At 53.3% G+C, this 17,621-nt stretch overlaps 1 protein-coding gene and 1 non-coding gene across 3 annotated transcripts in view, besides 9 other annotated features; one reads left to right on the forward strand and one right to left on the reverse strand.

Moving 5' to 3' along the window:
• The window catches only part of EMX2OS (EMX2 opposite strand/antisense RNA), a 60,776-nt gene extending 58,449 nt beyond the window's left edge, over positions 1-2,327 (reverse strand). The window contains exons 1-2 of the transcript NR_002791.2: positions 1,825-2,327; positions 1,565-1,635 (exon numbers count right to left, since the gene is read on the reverse strand). This is a non-coding gene — a non-coding RNA (EMX2 opposite strand/antisense RNA). The remainder of the gene's footprint in view (positions 1-1,564; positions 1,636-1,824) is intronic.
• Positions 5-6,805, forward strand: EMX2 (empty spiracles homeobox 2). Of its 2 annotated transcripts, NM_004098.4 has the most exons (3): positions 5-932; positions 2,891-3,075; positions 5,324-6,805. In NM_004098.4, the coding sequence occupies exons 1-3, from the start codon at positions 527-529 to the stop codon at positions 5,489-5,491; spliced, it is 759 nt and encodes a 252-aa protein (NP_004089.1). In that variant the 5' UTR covers positions 5-526; the 3' UTR covers positions 5,492-6,805. The 2 variants fall into 2 exon arrangements, with proteins under 2 accessions (NP_004089.1, NP_001159396.1); NM_001165924.2 differs by lacking the exon at positions 2,891-3,075.
• Positions 1,220-1,842: an enhancer, noted in NCBI's record as "H3K27ac-H3K4me1 hESC enhancer chr10:119303472-119304094 (GRCh37/hg19 assembly coordinates)". NCBI's record gives its function as "activates a minimal SCP1, AML or CMV promoter by ChIP-STARR-seq in naive H9 embryonic stem cells {active_cell/tissue: H9 hESC(naive)}" and the evidence as "EXISTENCE:reporter gene assay evidence [ECO:0000049][PMID:30033119]".
• Positions 1,843-2,465: an enhancer, noted in NCBI's record as "H3K27ac-H3K4me1 hESC enhancer chr10:119304095-119304717 (GRCh37/hg19 assembly coordinates)". NCBI's record gives its function as "activates a minimal SCP1, AML or CMV promoter by ChIP-STARR-seq in naive H9 embryonic stem cells {active_cell/tissue: H9 hESC(naive)}" and the evidence as "EXISTENCE:reporter gene assay evidence [ECO:0000049][PMID:30033119]".
• Positions 3,711-4,333: an enhancer, noted in NCBI's record as "H3K4me1 hESC enhancer chr10:119305963-119306585 (GRCh37/hg19 assembly coordinates)". NCBI's record gives its function as "activates a minimal SCP1, AML or CMV promoter by ChIP-STARR-seq in naive H9 embryonic stem cells {active_cell/tissue: H9 hESC(naive)}" and the evidence as "EXISTENCE:reporter gene assay evidence [ECO:0000049][PMID:30033119]".
• Positions 4,876-4,965: an enhancer, noted in NCBI's record as "active region_4100". NCBI's record gives its function as "activates an Ori minimal core promoter by ATAC-STARR-seq in GM12878 lymphoblastoid cells {active_cell/tissue: GM12878}" and the evidence as "EXISTENCE:reporter gene assay evidence [ECO:0000049][PMID:35858748]".
• Positions 4,957-5,251: a silencer, noted in NCBI's record as "tiled region #1864; K562 Repressive non-DNase unmatched - State 21:Repr". NCBI's record gives its function as "represses a minimal TATA promoter and a strong SV40 promoter by Sharpr-MPRA in K562 cells {active_cell/tissue: K562}" and the evidence as "EXISTENCE:reporter gene assay evidence [ECO:0000049][PMID:27701403]".
• Positions 6,948-8,292: an enhancer, noted in NCBI's record as "VISTA enhancer hs1032". NCBI's record gives its function as "enhancer in: midbrain (mesencephalon)[6/7] | forebrain[6/7]" and the evidence as "EXISTENCE:transgenic organism evidence [ECO:0001131][PMID:17130149]".
• Positions 6,948-9,942: a biological region, named in NCBI's record as "VISTA enhancers hs935 and hs1032".
• Positions 8,231-9,206: an enhancer, noted in NCBI's record as "VISTA enhancer hs935". NCBI's record gives its function as "enhancer in: midbrain (mesencephalon)[14/15]" and the evidence as "EXISTENCE:transgenic organism evidence [ECO:0001131][PMID:17130149]".
• Positions 9,151-9,942: an enhancer, noted in NCBI's record as "H3K27ac-H3K4me1 hESC enhancer chr10:119311403-119312194 (GRCh37/hg19 assembly coordinates)". NCBI's record gives its function as "activates a minimal SCP1, AML or CMV promoter by ChIP-STARR-seq in naive H9 embryonic stem cells {active_cell/tissue: H9 hESC(naive)}" and the evidence as "EXISTENCE:reporter gene assay evidence [ECO:0000049][PMID:30033119]".

The raw sequence follows: 17,621 nt of genomic DNA on the forward strand, positions 1-17,621 counted from the left end.
GTTTGCACAACTTGTGAAGAAGCGAACACTTCCATGGATTGTCCTTGGACTTAGGGCGCCCTGCCCGCCTTTTGCAGAGGAGAAAAAACTTTTTTTTTTTTTTGCCTCCCCCGAGAACTTTCCCCCCTTCTCCTCCCTGCCTCTAACTCCGATCCCCCCACGCCATCTCGCCAAAAAAAAAAAAAAAAAAAAAAAAGAAAAAAAAAGAAAAAAAAAGAAAAAAAATTACCCCAATCCACGCCTGCAAATTCTTCTGGAAGGATTTTCCCCCCTCTCTTCAGGTTGGGCGCGTTTGGTGCAAGATTCTCGGGATCCTCGGCTTTGCCTCTCCCTCTCCCTCCCCCCTCCTTTCCTTTTTCCTTTCCTTTCCTTTCTTTCTTCCTTTCCTTCCCCCCACCCCCACCCCCACCCCAAACAAACGAGTCCCCAATTCTCGTCCGTCCTCGCCGCGGGCAGCGGGCGGCGGAGGCAGCGTGCGGCGGTCGCCAGGAGCTGGGAGCCCAGGGCGCCCGCTCCTCGGCGCAGCATGTTCCAGCCGGCGCCCAAGCGCTGCTTCACCATCGAGTCGCTGGTGGCCAAGGACAGTCCCCTGCCCGCCTCGCGCTCCGAGGACCCCATCCGTCCCGCGGCACTCAGCTACGCTAACTCCAGCCCCATAAATCCGTTCCTCAACGGCTTCCACTCGGCCGCCGCCGCCGCCGCCGGTAGGGGCGTCTACTCCAACCCGGACTTGGTGTTCGCCGAGGCGGTCTCGCACCCGCCCAACCCCGCCGTGCCAGTGCACCCGGTGCCGCCGCCGCACGCCCTGGCCGCCCACCCCCTACCCTCCTCGCACTCGCCACACCCCCTATTCGCCTCGCAGCAGCGGGATCCGTCCACCTTCTACCCCTGGCTCATCCACCGCTACCGATATCTGGGTCATCGCTTCCAAGGTACGTGCCACGTCGCGGAACTGCAGCGCGCCGCTCCCGCCGCATCCTTCACTGCCCCCGGCCTGCTCCGGGTGGGCGCTTGGCAAGGCCTGGGCGGAGGTTCCTCCGGCTCGCGGGCCAGCGCGCCCTGTTGGGAAACTAGGCGGCGCGGGGCCGGGCGTGGTGTCGATCCCCAGTCTCCGAAGCTACGACTGGTTTGGAGTGATGGCCTGCGGGCCGCTTGACCCTTTGGGAAGGGGTGCGAACGGAGAAGTTGTCCCCCAGTGCGCTCGAATCAGAGCAGGCTGGGCTGTGCGTGCCCGGCGCCGCGGAGCCCAGAGCCCGCGGGATCCCCAGGCTCCTGGTACCCTCGGCAATGCCCCCAACCGTCCTGGCTCCGAGGGGCGCGGACAGGACTCGGCCGCCAGGCTTGCTTTCGACTGCGTTCGACCCTGTTCACCACCCACTTTGCGCCCCTTCAGTCCAGACCCGCGGCTTCTTAGTCTTCCACCCTCTTCTGGAGGCGAGAGGATCCTCGCGCCCCGGGAGAAAAGTATGGGATTTGTTTTTTCTTTCCTGCTTTTCGGAGGCCTGGGGAGGGGCGGGAACCCGTGCGGGAGGAAAGCTCCAGGGCTTGGCGCTCTCGCCGCGACCTGCTTAATTGGGGCGCCGAGCAGCCACAGCGGGAAGGCAGGTTCGGTCTGGTTTTTGTTTTTCTTTCTTTCTTTAAAAAAAAAAAAAAAGAACCTGGTCAGGAAACTGTCTTAGAGGGAAATATCTGTTCGTGTGTTTTCATTTCTTGCGATATTTTTTATTTGTTTGTTTTTCTCTGGGTACGGGGTGGGAGGAGGAGAGTTAAAACTTCAGAAAAAGGAGTAATTAGTTTACGGATTGGAGTCAGTAAAAGACCTACCTCCGGCGGCAGCCGATCAATACTCCGCGGCTTGTCCATTCATTAACCCATTGCGTTCCTGCCGGAGCCTAGAATCGGGTAGATGTCACCCCCCTCCCCATATTTTAAAAAATCAAACCAAAGGAAAAAAAACCCAAAAAGCCTTTTACCCTTAATCCCGAACTGGATTTGCCTGCATCCTGCCTGGACTGTCGGCTTGTTTTTCTTTGTTTGGGTTTTCGGTGAATCGATTTCCTATGCTAATGAGTGAACCCAAAACTCTGAGGCTTTGCTTGAAAAGTTTAGGGCTGCCCTTCCTCATTCGCTATCAGTCATGCTTATGGTCCCCTCACCAGACCCGGAGCCGCTGGGATCTTCCTGCGTTACAGACTGTCCTGGCGGTGTCTGCAAGTCGGTAACCCCCCGGGTTTCGATCCCTTCGCTCGCGTTTCTCTTCTAGTTCTCGGGAGCCGGGAGCCCCGGAGCCCAGTTCGCGAGAGGCAGCAGCGGCTGTAGCCAAGCACACCCGCCGGCCAGATTTCTGTCCCGATCGGGCTTCAACGACTCGCCCCGCCTCTATACTTTTCCGGAGGGGCAATAAAACAAATAATTTAAAAATAAATCTCCATGAAAACTCTGGAGAGCAGCCCGCCGCCTTTCCACCGTGGGTCAAAGTTCCCCGAGAGGTTAGAAAGAAGAGAAAGTAGTTTCTTCGGGTTGTGGGCGCCAATCCCCTGGCCAGGCTCTGCGGCTCCCTCCCCTGCCTCCAGCGCCCGGCGAGGAGGTGGCGAGGCCCGCGGCGCCAGGGCGGCTGCGGAGCCGGCCGAGGTCAGGAGCCTGGGGACTGGCTCCTCTGCGACAGCGGCTGGTTGGGTGCCGCACCGGTGGAGACCCGGCGTTCCGGGCCGGGCAGCTGAGCAGGCGTTCCCTTCGTGAGCCCTTGGGAGGACCACCGGCCCCCGCAGGTCGAGCGGCGCGGCTATGCGAAGGCCCTGAGCACGGTGCCGGGCCAGCCCGGCTCGGGAGAAGTGCGCGGCTCCGGTCAGAGCAGCCCCCCCTAATGGGATTTCTGCTGTGCTCCCCGCAGGGAACGACACTAGCCCCGAGAGTTTCCTTTTGCACAACGCGCTGGCCCGAAAGCCCAAGCGGATCCGAACCGCCTTCTCCCCGTCCCAGCTTCTAAGGCTGGAACACGCCTTTGAGAAGAATCACTACGTGGTGGGCGCCGAAAGGAAGCAGCTGGCACACAGCCTCAGCCTCACGGAAACTCAGGTGACTGCGGCCCGGGCGCGAGGAACCCATCTAGGCGTGCGCCCCCTCCCCAAAGCTGGCTCCCAAGCACACCCATGAGCACGGAGCTCTGTGAGGGCCTTCCGCACAGGTCCTGGTAGCTGGTTCCACGCCTGGGCTCGGGATGTATGTCTCAAGGTGCTGGCTTTGTTGGGCTCCAGAAAGGGGCTGTAAGTGCCAATCTGCCCCAGGTTCTGGGGAAACGCGCCGAGTTGTTTCTCTGTCCAGTTGGGCATGTCCTGGCTAAGACATCCCTGCATTTCTGGTGAGACTTTTGATGAGAGTGTGAAGACCCCTGCTGGGGTCCAGGAAGAGGGAGAGCACAGTGGGGTTTCTGGGTGTTTGGAGCTGGAGGCTGGTAAGGACAGGATGTGGGTTAAAGATGAGTTCTGAGCGACTGTGAGCCCACGGCTCACACCGTCGGCTCCAGTGACTTCCCTGAAGGAGATGGGCGATGGGAAGGTAGAGGGCAAGCGTCCTGTGTGTACCCTATATCAGAGAAGTAAAGTTGGGAGGCTGCAGAGAGGGTCTGCCTCAGGGCACAGGCCTTCTGCACAGCAGGGTCCCTGGGCGGGCCTGGCTTGGGTTTATCCCAGGGTGGGGAGGGGGTTTAGGACTACACTAGGCGCTACTGTACACGGAGCCGCAGGGCGGGGTCAAAGTTCCCAGCAAACAGTAACGTTTTTTTGGGCAGACTAAGTTGTAACACTTTTCCTGGGCAGCTCAGAAAGGTCGAGGCTTTTGTTTTAAAACATGTTCCCCACCCCAAAACCGAGGAGGGCCTGGCGGGTTTGTGCGGAGCCCGGCACAAGGCGCGGCCCGGCTGATTTCTCCTGGACAGCCGAGGCGGCGGTGGTCTTTGTCCGCCTCGCTGCCCACGCTGCCTGGAGTCTTTGTGTGCGTGTCAAGCCCCGAGCGCACCGACGCGCGCCTTGGGCCAGCGCCGGGGAGAAATGAACCGTCCTCCCCCTCAATTAGCAAACTCAAAGCAAATTAAATTCAGCCTTGTTCCCGCTCAGCTTTTTTCATGGAGCACTTTGGGCGACTGTGGCTTTCCGGGAGAGCAAGACGGACCGGCCTGCGGCCTCAAAGGAGGGAATGGAATGGATCCCAGGGGTCCAGGGACTGGCACTGGGCTGTGGGGTACTCTTATCCAGATAGAATAGGAGTTGTGGGGGGAGGGTATCAGAGGTGCAGTCACTGCCATCTCCCTTACCTGTACACCACTGCTGTGAAGATTGGACTGTGTTACTGTCTGGTGGCTAAATGAGGACCCACGACTCAGCTTTCCTAGGGGGCCGTGGGATGGCAGCCGACTCCCACCTCATTGCTCCTGAGACCTCTCACAGCCGCTCTGGTGAGGCCGGGCCTCCAGCCCCACCCTGGTGGGAAGTGATGGGACTGGGGTCCGAGGTTGTGTGACCAGCAGCCTGTTCCGGGGCTGTTTAGAAGGAGGGAAGAGGGGGCTTGCTGTCACCTCCCCTTCTCTTAGTTTCTCTTACTTTCCGTGTAACCCACGGTCTTTCAGAAGCTTTCAGTTTTGAACTCATTTTCCTAGCTATAAAGGTACAGCTGGGTTGGTCTGGAGGCCTACACACTCCATGTCCCTCCTGGCCTCCTCCAGCCCCATCCCCTTCCTGCTCACCTGTGAGAGTCCCCCGCACGGAGGATGCAGCTCAGGCAAACCCTGATCGCCTACCCAGGGCCCCCGCCACGAAGAGGAGACGCTATATTTAGGAAACGCCGCCCAGACCAGCAGAAAATAGAAAGCACATTGGGCCCTGAGGGGAGCTGCAGCAGCGGCGGACTGAGGTCTCTCTTGCACTCGCTTGCTGGAGGGAGTTAGGGACATGTCTCTTTTTCTTTTAATCACTTATTATTTTTGTAGGGGCTTCCCATGCTTTGCAAGGCTTTGCTCTCAGCGGGATATAGATGCCCTCTGCAGGGCCAGGAGAGATGGGGCTCAGTGCACTCCGGGCCACAGGGCCCTGGGGAAAGGCTCTTCAGGAAGCCTCAGAAGGGCAGGGAGCTGGGCTTCTGTTCCACCACGCACTAGCGGCCCTGCTCCCTGAGGGCAGGCCTTGGGGAGGCTGGACCTTAGGACTTGCATCTCGGGGGCTGGGTCTTTGCTGAGTCTGGAACTGGAGTCTGGGCTGGGTGAAAGGATCAGGCACTTGATAGAAGGGTGCTCTGAAAGAACTAACGCACCCCATCTGCCTCTCACCCGCAGGTAAAAGTATGGTTTCAGAACCGAAGAACAAAGTTCAAAAGGCAGAAGCTGGAGGAAGAAGGCTCAGATTCGCAACAAAAGAAAAAAGGGACGCACCATATTAACCGGTGGAGAATCGCCACCAAGCAGGCGAGTCCGGAGGAAATAGACGTGACCTCAGATGATTAAAAACATAAACCTAACCCCACAGAAACGGACAACATGGAGCAAAAGAGACAGGGAGAGGTGGAGAAGGAAAAAACCCTACAAAACAAAAACAAACCGCATACACGTTCACCGAGAAAGGGAGAGGGAATCGGAGGGAGCAGCGGAATGCGGCGAAGACTCTGGACAGCGAGGGCACAGGGTCCCAAACCGAGGCCGCGCCAAGATGGCAGAGGATGGAGGCTCCTTCATCAACAAGCGACCCTCGTCTAAAGAGGCAGCTGAGTGAGAGACACAGAGAGAAGGAGAAAGAGGGAGGGAGAGAGAGAAAGAGAGAGAAAGAGAGAGAGAGAGAGAGAGAGAGAAAGCTGAACGTGCACTCTGACAAGGGGAGCTGTCAATCAAACACCAAACCGGGGAGACAAGATGATTGGCAGGTATTCCGTTTATCACAGTCCACTTAAAAAATGATGATGATGATAAAAACCACGACCCAACCAGGCACAGGACTTTTTTGTTTTTTGCACTTCGCTGTGTTTCCCCCCCATCTTTAAAAATAATTAGTAATAAAAAACAAAAATTCCATATCTAGCCCCATCCCACACCTGTTTCAAATCCTTGAAATGCATGTAGCAGTTGTTGGGCGAATGGTGTTTAAAGACCGAAAATGAATTGTAATTTTCTTTTCCTTTTAAAGACAGGTTCTGTGTGCTTTTTATTTTGATTTTTTTTCCCAAGAAATGTGCAGTCTGTAAACACTTTTTGATACCTTCTGATGTCAAAGTGATTGTGCAAGCTAAATGAAGTAGGCTCAGCGATAGTGGTCCTCTTACAGAGAAACGGGGAGCAGGACGACGGGGGGGCTGGGGGTGGCGGGGGAGGGTGCCCACAAAAAGAATCAGGACTTGTACTGGGAAAAAAACCCCTAAATTAATTATATTTCTTGGACATTCCCTTTCCTAACATCCTGAGGCTTAAAACCCTGATGCAAACTTCTCCTTTCAGTGGTTGGAGAAATTGGCCGAGTTCAACCATTCACTGCAATGCCTATTCCAAACTTTAAATCTATCTATTGCAAAACCTGAAGGACTGTAGTTAGCGGGGATGATGTTAAGTGTGGCCAAGCGCACGGCGGCAAGTTTTCAAGCACTGAGTTTCTATTCCAAGATCATAGACTTACTAAAGAGAGTGACAAATGCTTCCTTAATGTCTTCTATACCAGAATGTAAATATTTTTGTGTTTTGTGTTAATTTGTTAGAATTCTAACACACTATATACTTCCAAGAAGTATGTCAATGTCAATATTTTGTCAATAAAGATTTATCAATATGCCCTCAGAGTAGTCGTCTTGGGAAATTGAAGTGGATCTTTAAAAATGTATCTCAGTAATTTGAGTGTGGTCCTTCCCCAACTAGGCTCAAGAAACCCAGGCTCCTCACCCACAAAAGGGCCAGATTGATGGATTCTCAGGCATTTTAAAGAAAGATGAGGGTGGAGAAGGGAGAAGATTAGGAAAACTTAAGTCCTTCAGAAAAGAGATGGGAGAAAAGTTTTTCAACCAGACTTTGCCCATTGTATGCCCTCCTGAGGGAGTTTAGTTTGAACTTCAGGTTAAAATGCTTACTTCTCTTAACCTCTGGTTATTAAAAAAAAACTGGACATATAGTTACACATTGAGGACTACTCTCCCAAAATATTGGGGAAAACATGTAGCAGAATCTTGCAACTTCTAAACTTTCTGACTTCAAACCCCAAAGTACAAGTCTTACTTTTCCTTCCTTTCTTTCCTCCTCTCCCTGGCCCCAATCTGCTGAAGGTGATGGGCCAAGCCCAAGGGCCTCAGCAGCCTTATAAGGCAAGTGTTCTGAAAAACCTTCAACTCTTAATTTTAACATTAAAGAAAAAGTTGTAATCAGACTTGGAGGAAACTTAGCTTTTTTCCCTCCCTCCTTCCCCCTTCTGGGGGTACGAGGTTGTTTTTGCATGCTTCATTTGCTTCTTATCCTGATAGGCTGCATTAATCAGTTTTATTTCCATTGATAGAGAAACCTCGTCTGTTCTGTTCGAGCTACAAAGCGTCCTGCGAGCTTTTGTGAAAGTGCAAATCAGTTTAAGCAATTATCATACCAGGAATATGAAGGGGAAAGAGGAGGCCTTGCCCAGTGGTCTCCTTTAATCTCTTAATCCACGGATCCAGGGGGGCTGCCTGGACATAATTTAGGACAATCTCCCCACCCTTTACACTGTGATAAGGCCAAGTTACAATGCAGGGCAAAAATACAAGCTTTGTTAACATCTTGCCTTGAAAAGTTAAGATTAGACATTCCGTGCACGTGTGGGGACTATAGGGCACTATGGAAATTTTTTCTTTTTTTTCTCCTCTTCTCTAAAGCAGAATTCATTCTCCGTCTCTTTCTCCTTTCCCCCATCTCTGCCTGTCTTCCACCTCCCCTCTTTCCCCCCATTTCTGTCCCTCTGTAGAAACCTGGCTGCTCATAGTGCATTTTCACAGACTCTTCTTGGAAGGTGTGTGTGCCGTGAGGGGATACACCGCCGCCGGGAGTTGCCGGGGGAGGAGGGAGACGGGGTGGCCTCAGGAGACCCGGGCTTGCGTCTCACAGGGACAGGTGCGCCTCGGGGTATCCTGGAAACCCTCGTGGGGCTTCCAGGCGCTTTGACAGCACGACCCTCAGTGACCACCAGCTGTCTCAAGCGCTTTGCAGTCAGTGCTCCCGGAAAGCATCCCTTTCTCTTCAACAAGTACAAATTACCTTTTCCTTCCACTCACCTTCCAAAACCCGGAATACCTCAAACACCGAGCTCATTCTTAAACATTCTTAAAATTCAGATGGTCTGTCCAGAAAAAAAAAAAAATTCCGTCTTAACAGAAGGTTTACTTCTGCCGAAATTATATACTTTATACTTTTTAAGTACAAGAAAACGGGGCTGGTGGTGAAGATTTTTCTTTTTTTGGGTAAATGTCCTATGTAGTGTAACAGCAATAAAATCATCACAGAATACTATTAGCTTTGAAAAAAAAACTAAAAGCTTTATTACAAACCAAGCTTTGAAAATAGGGGGGATTAGGCGGCTGAAAGGGTCCCACAATGGTAAGAAGAAAAGGTTTCATGCTAATGAGGTTAATGCCCTTTGTATCTCAGGCCTCCACATCTTCATTACGCGCTATCTCCGGCTGCACGGAGCGGCTCAGAGAGCCGCAATCCACTCCAACGCCCCCCTTCCCGGCCCAAAGAAGGATTTGATAGCAGCTCTGTTCAAACTAGATAATTATATCTTTTCAAGTCGGAATTAAGATAAAGAAAGTGAAGCAGAGGCGGCTCGCCTTGATCCACTGCAAACAAATTTGGCGCACTTTCGAGTCCTTCCTCCGCCTCAAAAAGGCAGGACAGTCAGCTTATTAGCCGCTCGTTTGCTTTATTAATTCATCTATTTAAAGTGGCAGGATTAGAGTGTCTAATGTGGACGCGGGCTGCCGTGGCGCTGAGGAATATAAATATTTGCGAGATGCCATCCCACGATGACTATCTGGGAGTGGGGCGCGGGGCAGGGTGCGCGTGTGCCCTGCCTCTGCGTTCCCTTCGCAGTGCGCGCGTGCTGAGCTGAGCAGGGGGTTGTAGGAGCCATGAGCCGCAGGTCTATGTGCCCCTTCGTGCTATATGGGTGCCAGCCCTGGATGCTCCCGGGCAGGGCTCAATGGGCATCGTGGGTCAGATTCTGCGCTCCTTCTGGGACACGGAGAACTGTATGCACGTTGCCATTGGGTCCTGCCTGGGACCCCTAATGGGGATGTAGGATACAAGTTTGATCCATGTTCCGTTTCCTTGTTAATTACTTGTGGACCTTCCCTGTGGGACCCCTTGGCCAAGCGCATGTTCGGGAGAGGCACGGGTTCTCCGTTTGCGCTGCCCTGAGAGGGTCAAACGGAATCTACCAAGCGCGTGTGCCGCGGCTACGTTCTCCTGCGAAGTACACATGGGTTCCGTGTGCGTTTCTCGCGGAGGCGCCAGAAAGTCCTAGGGTGAGAGAAGCCTTCGACCTCCGAACTTCCTGGCTCTCGTTCTGGGTGTTCAGTGCTCCAAGCTCCCTCTGGCTCTGCTCCTGGCAGGCAAGCCGAGCAGGAGCTGGCGCATTGGCTGCGGCCCGGAACCTGCCGGGCCACTTTTGTGCGAGGGGCGGATTGTGGCAGCCTGAGAGCCGCGCCAGGCGGGCCAGGCAGAAAGGGGGCTCCGGCCTGCGCTCGGCTTTGGAAACCTCGGCTCCTCCCCGTCCCCGCCTCGAGTCGCAGGAAACAAAGTCTGGGACGCGCAGGCCGGCTGGGGAGGGACTCTGGCTGCTCGGAGGCCTGGCCCGGGGCCCCACTCCGTGGTGGGGGTTTTAGGGCTGGTCCAAGTCGGTGTAAGGCTGGCAGGGTGAGGGTCTGTTCTTGTGTGTTTGTATAGGGTGAGAGCACTAGTTTGTGGTATAATGGCATTTGTGTGGATTGTGGAATAGAATTGTGTGTCTCAGCTAGGACTTTAGTCAATTTGTGTCAGTTCTAATTGTTTGAATAAGTTAAAGGCTGGAGAGGCTGGGGCTACTTATGTAGATTTGGTCAAGATGTCTAGCTGTCCTTGTGCGTCTAGATTGTTTTGAGTTAGGGCCAGCACGTGCAGTTGTGAGGCTGCAGAGTGCCTATGACGGTGTGGAAATGCAGTTTATTGAATGTGTGTGCCGCGGTCTGGTTGCACTGTGTATCTGCGAATTCGTCTGGAGTTGCACATCTCAGAAGATGGGGGTGGCCTCGGTGTGTGTGGCTTGCGGGGACGTTTCTCGGTGTTTGGATGGGGGTCCCTGTGATGGATGTCCATGCCCAGCCCTAGGGCAACATCTGTGTGTCTTGGGATCGAGGCGTGTGTGTCTAGTGAGGAGGCTTGGGCTGGGGTGTCGTTCCAGCAGCGCCCCACTAACTCCGGAGTTTGGCAAACAACAGCCGTTTTGTGTAACTGCGCATTTTTCTAGACCAGTCTTTATTATTCCAGCAATCAGCGCTGGAATTACTGGGGCGCCGCCTAGAAGCAACCGCCGGCGGGGCGGCAGAGGATGCCGGCCTCCAGCGTCGGGGGACCGCGCCCGAAAGCCGGGCTGCTTTGTGGGGCCTCTCGCGCCTCGCCCGCAGCTTCCGGCCCGCGCCCTCCGCTCGACCGCCGATTTTCTCGCCCCAGCCAGCCCCGTAGCCAGAGGAAAGTGGGAGTTTTGAGAACCCTCTGACCCCAGCCGTGACCCCTCTCCGGGAGGTGGCTTCTCCCGCAGGACCCGGTGCGCCAGAAAACTCTAGGCGGCGCCACGCTTGGAAGCGCAAGGTCCATTCATCAGCCGCGCCCCAGCGTCTAATTGGCCTTTTGTTTATTAGTGTCTGTTGCCCGGCTGGGAGTCTCCGGAGGGCCCCGGAGCTGCGAGTCGGGGTGCCAGAAGCGGACGGCGGGCCAGCGCCCAGAGCTGGGGTCCGGGTAGGGCAGAGGCGCGTCGCACTCCTCTGAGGGGGCGCCAGAGCGCGCCAAAGATCACGCCCACGTGCGGAGATGCGCGCATGGAGGCTGGACTCCAAGTGCTGGAGCCTGGTCCTCCCGGCTGCTAACGCCCCAGGCTTCGCCCCTGCCCCCACCTCCACCTGCAGACCGAGCCCTCCCCATCTCTCCACACCCTCAGGATTTCAGACCCGCCTTCCTGCCTCTCCTAAGTACCCATCCCAGGCGCTGGCCTTGTGGCTCGGTTCCGCTCACGTCCCGCCCTTCCTCGTTCTTCGTGCTTCGAGTTCATTAGTCGTGGCTCCGCCGCTAACCCCGGGGAGAAAGCTCCCCTTTTACTCTGGGTTTCCCTCCCTAAACACCAACCCGGCAGTATGGAGCCAGCCTCCTGCTTCGCTGGGTGGTGTGATTGAGAGAATGTTTTTGGCAAGGCAGGGAGAGAGGGACGAGACAGAGCACTCAAAATTCCACCTTCCTCACCAAGTCAAACCTCACCTTCCGATCCCTATCTCCCACCCAGTGTTCAATCTCCACATCGAGCCTCGCCATCCTCCTCCCTACCCCACACTTACTGCCCCTCCTCCCATTCCCGAGAGACAGTACAGAAGTAAGGTCTCCATTCCCAGCACAGGCACAAAGGCCAAGATGCACCTGGGGGTCCTGAAGGTGCTTGGGATGGGCATGCGGTCTCATTTGGAAAATGACTTGAGGATGATTGGCCTCGCCTGGCGGTGGCCTGGCTGCCAGCAACGTCTGGATGGCTGGGCCTCAGCCTGGCCCCAGACGTCCCCTGCTCCCAGCCAGCTCCAGGCCCTATATATAGCACGGGTCTCCATAGCCCTGGCTGGACCCTGACGTCAGAAAGAACTTGATCTTGCCTGCTTCGCTCCTGCTTCTGAAACTGATCCTTGAAATGAGAGAACAGACTCTACACAATTCCCATGGCCTTGACATAAGGTACAGCGATAAATATACACCACTAATGAGCAATTACCATATAATCACCTTCCAATTAGCTCGCATAATGATGAATTAAACATTCTAGCAGGCGGGATTAGGTTTCTTACTTTGTATATTATTTACGAAGGCTATAGCTTCTGCAAAGAACCAAATATCAAATTAGATGGGGGAATTTTCACTTGGGGGTAATTATGCATTCAGGCCAGCGGCTGTGTTCTGGTCACTTGTCAACTGAGGCCTCCTGCAAGGTACTGACCAGTGCTTTTGGGCATTTATTTTCCTTTTTTTCCCTCTCTCTCTTTAAGTTGCAATTGCCTTTTCCTTTTCCTTTTACTACTCTGGCCCGTGAGGTGAGAGGCTGGGGACACTGAGGCGGGGCACTAGGTGGGGTTTGGGGAGGGACCTCAGAGAGGATGTGGTGCAGGCATCAGGCCCTGTCCTTCTGGCCCCATTCGCTTGGCTCTTGTTCCCGTTTCTCTCCAGCCCAAGAAGGATGCCTGAGCAATCGGCTCTGCACAGCTACTGAGCACAGGGCCAGCGCGGCTGCCCACTCACCTAATGCCAGGGGCTTCCTCCCGCTGCACCTGGTGCCACCGCCTGACATTCCTTAGGCCCCCCCGGGGCCTCAGTGCAGTCTATGCCAACTTTTACCCCCACTCCCACCCCAGTAACAGGGAGAGAAAGGATACGGGGAGTTGAGAAACCAACGACAAACCTCCACATCGCCCGCAGCCACCTCTCTTGTTCGGAAATGAATTTTGGCAAGAGATTAGTTCCTAATCTGATCTAACGCTGCTGACATTTGGGAAGAAGATGAAAATGGCAGCTCAATTTCATTCTGAAACAGGGTCACTTCGCAGGGCTCTGCTCTTCAGAGAATGTGGACGCCCCTCCCCTCCCCTAAAACAGAAGAGCTAGAGGGGCAGCCATGCCAGGGACTGCCCATCCCCAGGTCAGCCAGAGCCCCTGGGCCCTGGGCCTGTCTGCGGTTGAATGGCGGGAGTGGAGGGAGGCTGTCTGGGCTGGGGCCACTGCCTGCGTCCTCTGCTGTCTGCCTTCAGGGCACTGCGCTTGCACACAGATAGGGGCTCCTGGGCACCCATAGAAGACTCTTTAGGCTAGAGAGCCTCTTTCTTGTAGGGAGGCCCTGGGGAAGGTAAAAAGTTTCAGGAGTCACCAGTGGAGTAATTAAAGGAAGATGTCCCCAGGGCCTGTGGGGGTACTTTCCCCTGTGCTTACTGGGTAAGTAAAAGCACAGCTAGGGCTGGGTGGCTGGCATTGGCTGAGGGTCTGGCTTACTTGGAAGCCATGGGTCTGGAGACAGCTACTCTGGCACTTGGCTCCATGAGGCTGCAAGGTCCTCCTGGAGGCAGAGCTCTCCCTATCCCCCGCTTCCCTGCTTTCTCCCAGACACACACTCACCCACTGCAAACCCAAGAGGTGGGTGGGCCATGTTCTTGGTCACCTAGCAGAGCCCACCATGTCCAGCCTTTGTCCTCAACAGGGGCCACTCTGGCAGTGGCCTCATCCTGGGTCAGGTAAGAGAGGGCAGGTAAGTCAGTTGTTGGGGGACCTGCCCGGTCACTGGATCTTGTTCCTGAGGGATCAGGCACTTCTGAGACCTTGTCTGTGGGGTGCAGGGCCTGGAATGGGGGTTGAGGGCATCATCATCAGCTCAGGTCAAGGCCAAGCAGGAGAATCTGTGCCTGGGTCCCTAGGAAGGGGTGTGCTAATGAAGAAAGTTCTGTGCCATGTACCTTGCATGCTGGTGGCTGCATATGTATGAGTGGCTATACCTGAATATGCTTGTACAGCATGCAACTTTGAACACGTGGATCACAAACATGTATGTAAGTGTGCACGTGACCGTGGGGATTGGGGTTGCTGTAGCCCATACTGTGTCTTTGTGCAGCTTAGAAAAAGGCATCCCTTCTTCTGGGTGGAAGGCACCCCTTTCTCTCCTGTGGCTTGCCAAGTGGAATGTGAGCTGGATTTCAGCAGAGCACCCCGTCACCCATCCTTTTGTCCAGACTTCTTAAGCAGTACACAATCTCGAGTCCATAAACTCAAACTCTGGTGGAGACGTCTGTGTGTTGGGTGTGGTATTATCCAAGGGTGACTTTATTATTGAGAATCAGCTTTATTCCTAGGAGTCCCTCCTTCAGTGGCACCTAGCTAGGGACTGCCTCTTGCCCCCTTTGCAGTACGGAGGACCTGAAGAGCAACAGCCACCACCATCTTGGACCCTTAAAGCCCCTGATCAGTATGTAAGCCTGGTAAGCACAGGTACATTTGCACTTGTGAGTGGGGCTGAGTAACAGAGTACATGTGTATGGATGGATGTTCGGAAGTGTGAATATTTGTGTGTGTGAGTATAGGTGGGCACAGGGGTGACCATGAGGGTGGAGAGGGCATGATTGGACATGTTTGTGGGAGCCACAGTGAGGTGCATGGTTGCGGGGTACAGCTGGCTTCTCTGTGGTGGCTCCCCCAGCCTCACACAGGCATAGCCCCCCTCCGGCCATGGTGGTCTGCTTCCTAAAGGGCTCACTGCCACTCCTCTCCTTGACCCACTCTAAATGACTGCAATTGGCCGGGGGCAGTGGTTCACCCCTGTAATCCCAGCACTTTGAGAGGCTGAGGTGGGCGGATCACAAGGTCAGGAGATCGAGAGCATCCTGGCTAACACAGTGAAACCCCATCTCTACTAAAAACACAAACAAATAGCCGGGCGTGGTGGCAGGCACCTGTAGTCCCAGCTACTCGGGAGGCTGAGGCAGGAGAATGGTGTGAACCCGGGAGGTGGAGCTTGCGGTGAGCCGAGATCACGACACTGCACTCCAGCCTGGGCGACAGAGTGAGACTCCATCTCAAAAAAAAAAAAAAAAAAAAAAAAAAAAAGACTGCAATTATGGCCTTCCATGAAAGCCAGACGTGGTATCTGCTACTGTAGATCACTTCAAGTGGAAGGCCACTGCTTTATTAAGTAAACAGCACCATGTTGACTCAAATGTCACTTTCTATACTTGCCGTTTAGGGGCAGCACAAAGGGACTTAAGCAGCTACAAGGCCCCTGGGTGGTGGTGTCATTCAGGGTTTATTGAAAGCCAGAGCCCTTTAAAGGCCCACCTTCTCTGCCTACACCCTATGGCACCCCACAACCTGCTTCCCTCTCAAATCTTGTTTTCATAGCTGAAAAGGAGACTTTATTTATAATATACTGAATATGCTAGACCACATCCACTTGTCAGCCTCAGGAGGGTAGAGGAAGAGAGCATGTGTGGGCCTGTGTGTACACATGTGAGGGGTATGGGTGTGTACCAATGATCTAAGCCCATTAGCTGTTCGTGGAAACCCCAGGAAGGGTAATCTCTAGAGGGGTCACTTGGTTCTTTGCCCCAGGGAAGGGAATAGGTGAGCCAGGAGCCTCTGGGAGTCTAGCATCCAAGTCTCATGCTCATTTCGGAAGCTCTCTCCCCACCTCTGGCCTTGAGTTAGATTGTAGGCCAGCCTGTGGGCAGGAGTAAATAGCCACTGCTTCTGCTTCAAATGCCTACTCAGTGCCAGCACTTCATGAACATTACGGCTGTCTGCCCCCCACCCCTACCCCCATGGGTCAGGCCCTAGTTACCTGCCCTCCCTGCTCACTGCCCTTTCTGGCCTCTCCTTCTATTGCAGACTAGTGGATGATGGGAGGCACTTGGGGAGGGAGAGGACCTTGTGGTAGTTCCTTCCCGGCATCATGACTCGCTCTCTCATCCTGGTGAAAGGGACCAAGCCAATGGGTGTAGAGGTGTCACTATAAAGAGACAGGATCCAGCATAGCCCTGTCCTGAACCTTCCTGCTTCCAGTCTGATCATGATTTTCGCCCATTTCCCCGTGTCTGCTTGCTTGAGGCCACAGACGGGGCTGTGCCCAGGAAGGGGAAAGTTTTTCCCCTGAGTCCTGTACCTTCTCTCAACCATCCAGCCCTTCCTTCCTTCCTTCCTTCCTTTCATAATATTTGTTTAACTTAGAGAGATTTATTCCACAAATGAACTCATTCATATGTGAAGTGACATATATATATAAGATTATTATCATTATTATTATCATTTATTTTTGAGATGGAGTCTCGCTCTGTCGCCCAGCCTGGAGTGCAATGGTTCAGTCTCAGCTCACTGCAACCTCTGCCTCCTGGGTTCAAGTGATTCTCCTGCCTCAGTCTTCTGAGTAGCTGGGATTACGGGCATGGGCCGTCACGCCTGGCTAATTTTTGTATTTTTAGTAGAGATGGGGTTTCACCATGTTGACCAGGCTGGTCTTGAACTCCTGACCTCAGGTGATCTGCCCACTTTGGCCTCCCAAAGTGCTGGGATTACAGGCGTGAGCCACCATGCCCAACCTGTGTGAGATTAATTATTAAGTGCTGTTAGCTATAGGGAAATATTTGAAGCAATCAAAATGTTCATTGCTAGGGGATTGGTAACGTAATTTATCCTAGGATGGGATGTTATGCAGTAGTTAAAAACAAAGAAGCATAATTTGTGTTCTAATATGGGAAGCTCTTTAAGATATGTAACTGTTAATTGATAAAAGCAAAAGGAGTGTGCATGGAATATCATTACTATAAAAGAAATACATATGGGTGTGTATTTGTTGTGAAACTTGCTTGTAATATTCCTAGCAGGATACAAGAGGGACTGGTAAAGTGGATTCCACAGTCTTTCTTGAATGCTATGGCATGCTTTCCTCCAGTACCTGGCCGCTCCTCTCCAGATGCAACTCTGTCCCTCTTGAGTGGTTAATGGACCATTTGCAAAGGGATTCTCAGAATGGAGCATCATAATCCAGCTGATCCCCTCCAGTTCTATGTAGAGCAGGACTCTCCCATTCCTTGCCTTTAGCCACCGTCCTGTTAATGCAGTCCACAAGGGCACTGGCTTTTTTTGGCAACCAAGATTTGGACAAAGTTATAGAAATTGGCCAGCCCAGCTTCCCTTCCATGAAAGACTCCTACAGGAGGTCCCACTGGTGGTCATGCAGGCTGGGCTTGGATATTTCCATGCTGAGAAGCTCTCTACCTCCCACGGTTGCATAGTCTCTTCTAAAACAGTAGAGTTTTAGGATTTTCCTTGAGCTCTGGAGAACAAGTTTTACCTCTCTGGAGTTTAAACTGGAGTTGAGTCAGTTGTTTGAAGCACTGCTCCCTTGTTTGCCTACCCACTCCGCCCATTATTATGAAGAAAATGCAAATTTATACAACAGTAGAGTGAATAGTGTAATGCATACATCTCCCATCTTCAGTAATTATGTGATGGATTGAATTGTGACGCTCCCTCAAATTTACGTGTTGAAATCCTTACCCCAATTACCTCACAATGTGAACTCATTTGGAGATGGGGGCTTTATAAAGGTAATCAAGTCAAAAGGAGATAGCTAGAGCAGGCCCTAATTCAGTGTGACTGGTGACCTTACAAGAAGAGGAAGTTTGGTGGCTTGTCTTGGATCACACCTGTAATCCCAGCACTTTAGGAAGCAGAGGCAGGAGGAACACCTGAGTCCAGGAGTTCAAAACCAGCCTGGGCAACATAGTCAGACCATCTATCTAAAAAAAAATAAAAAATAAAAATAAAAAAAAGAAAAGGAAGCTTGGACATAGACAGACCCAGAGGGAAAATGATGTGA

The sequence above is a fragment of the Homo sapiens genome, chromosome 10 (assembly GCF_000001405.40).
Source record: "Homo sapiens chromosome 10, GRCh38.p14 Primary Assembly".
Taxonomy (NCBI): Eukaryota; Metazoa; Chordata; class Mammalia; order Primates; family Hominidae; genus Homo; species Homo sapiens.

Bases quoted from the DNA above. Each gene is read 5' to 3' on its own strand.
- EMX2 (NM_004098.4), top strand. From the start codon at position 527: ATGTTCCAGCCGGCGCCCAAGCGCTGCTTCACCATCGAGTCGCTGGTG. The intron at 933-2,890 runs GTACGTGCCACG...TGCTCCCCGCAG, and splicing joins TCTGGGTCATCGCTTCCAAG to GGAACGACACTAGCCCCGAG. The intron at 3,076-5,323 runs GTGACTGCGGCC...TCTCACCCGCAG, and splicing joins TCAGCCTCACGGAAACTCAG to GTAAAAGTATGGTTTCAGAA.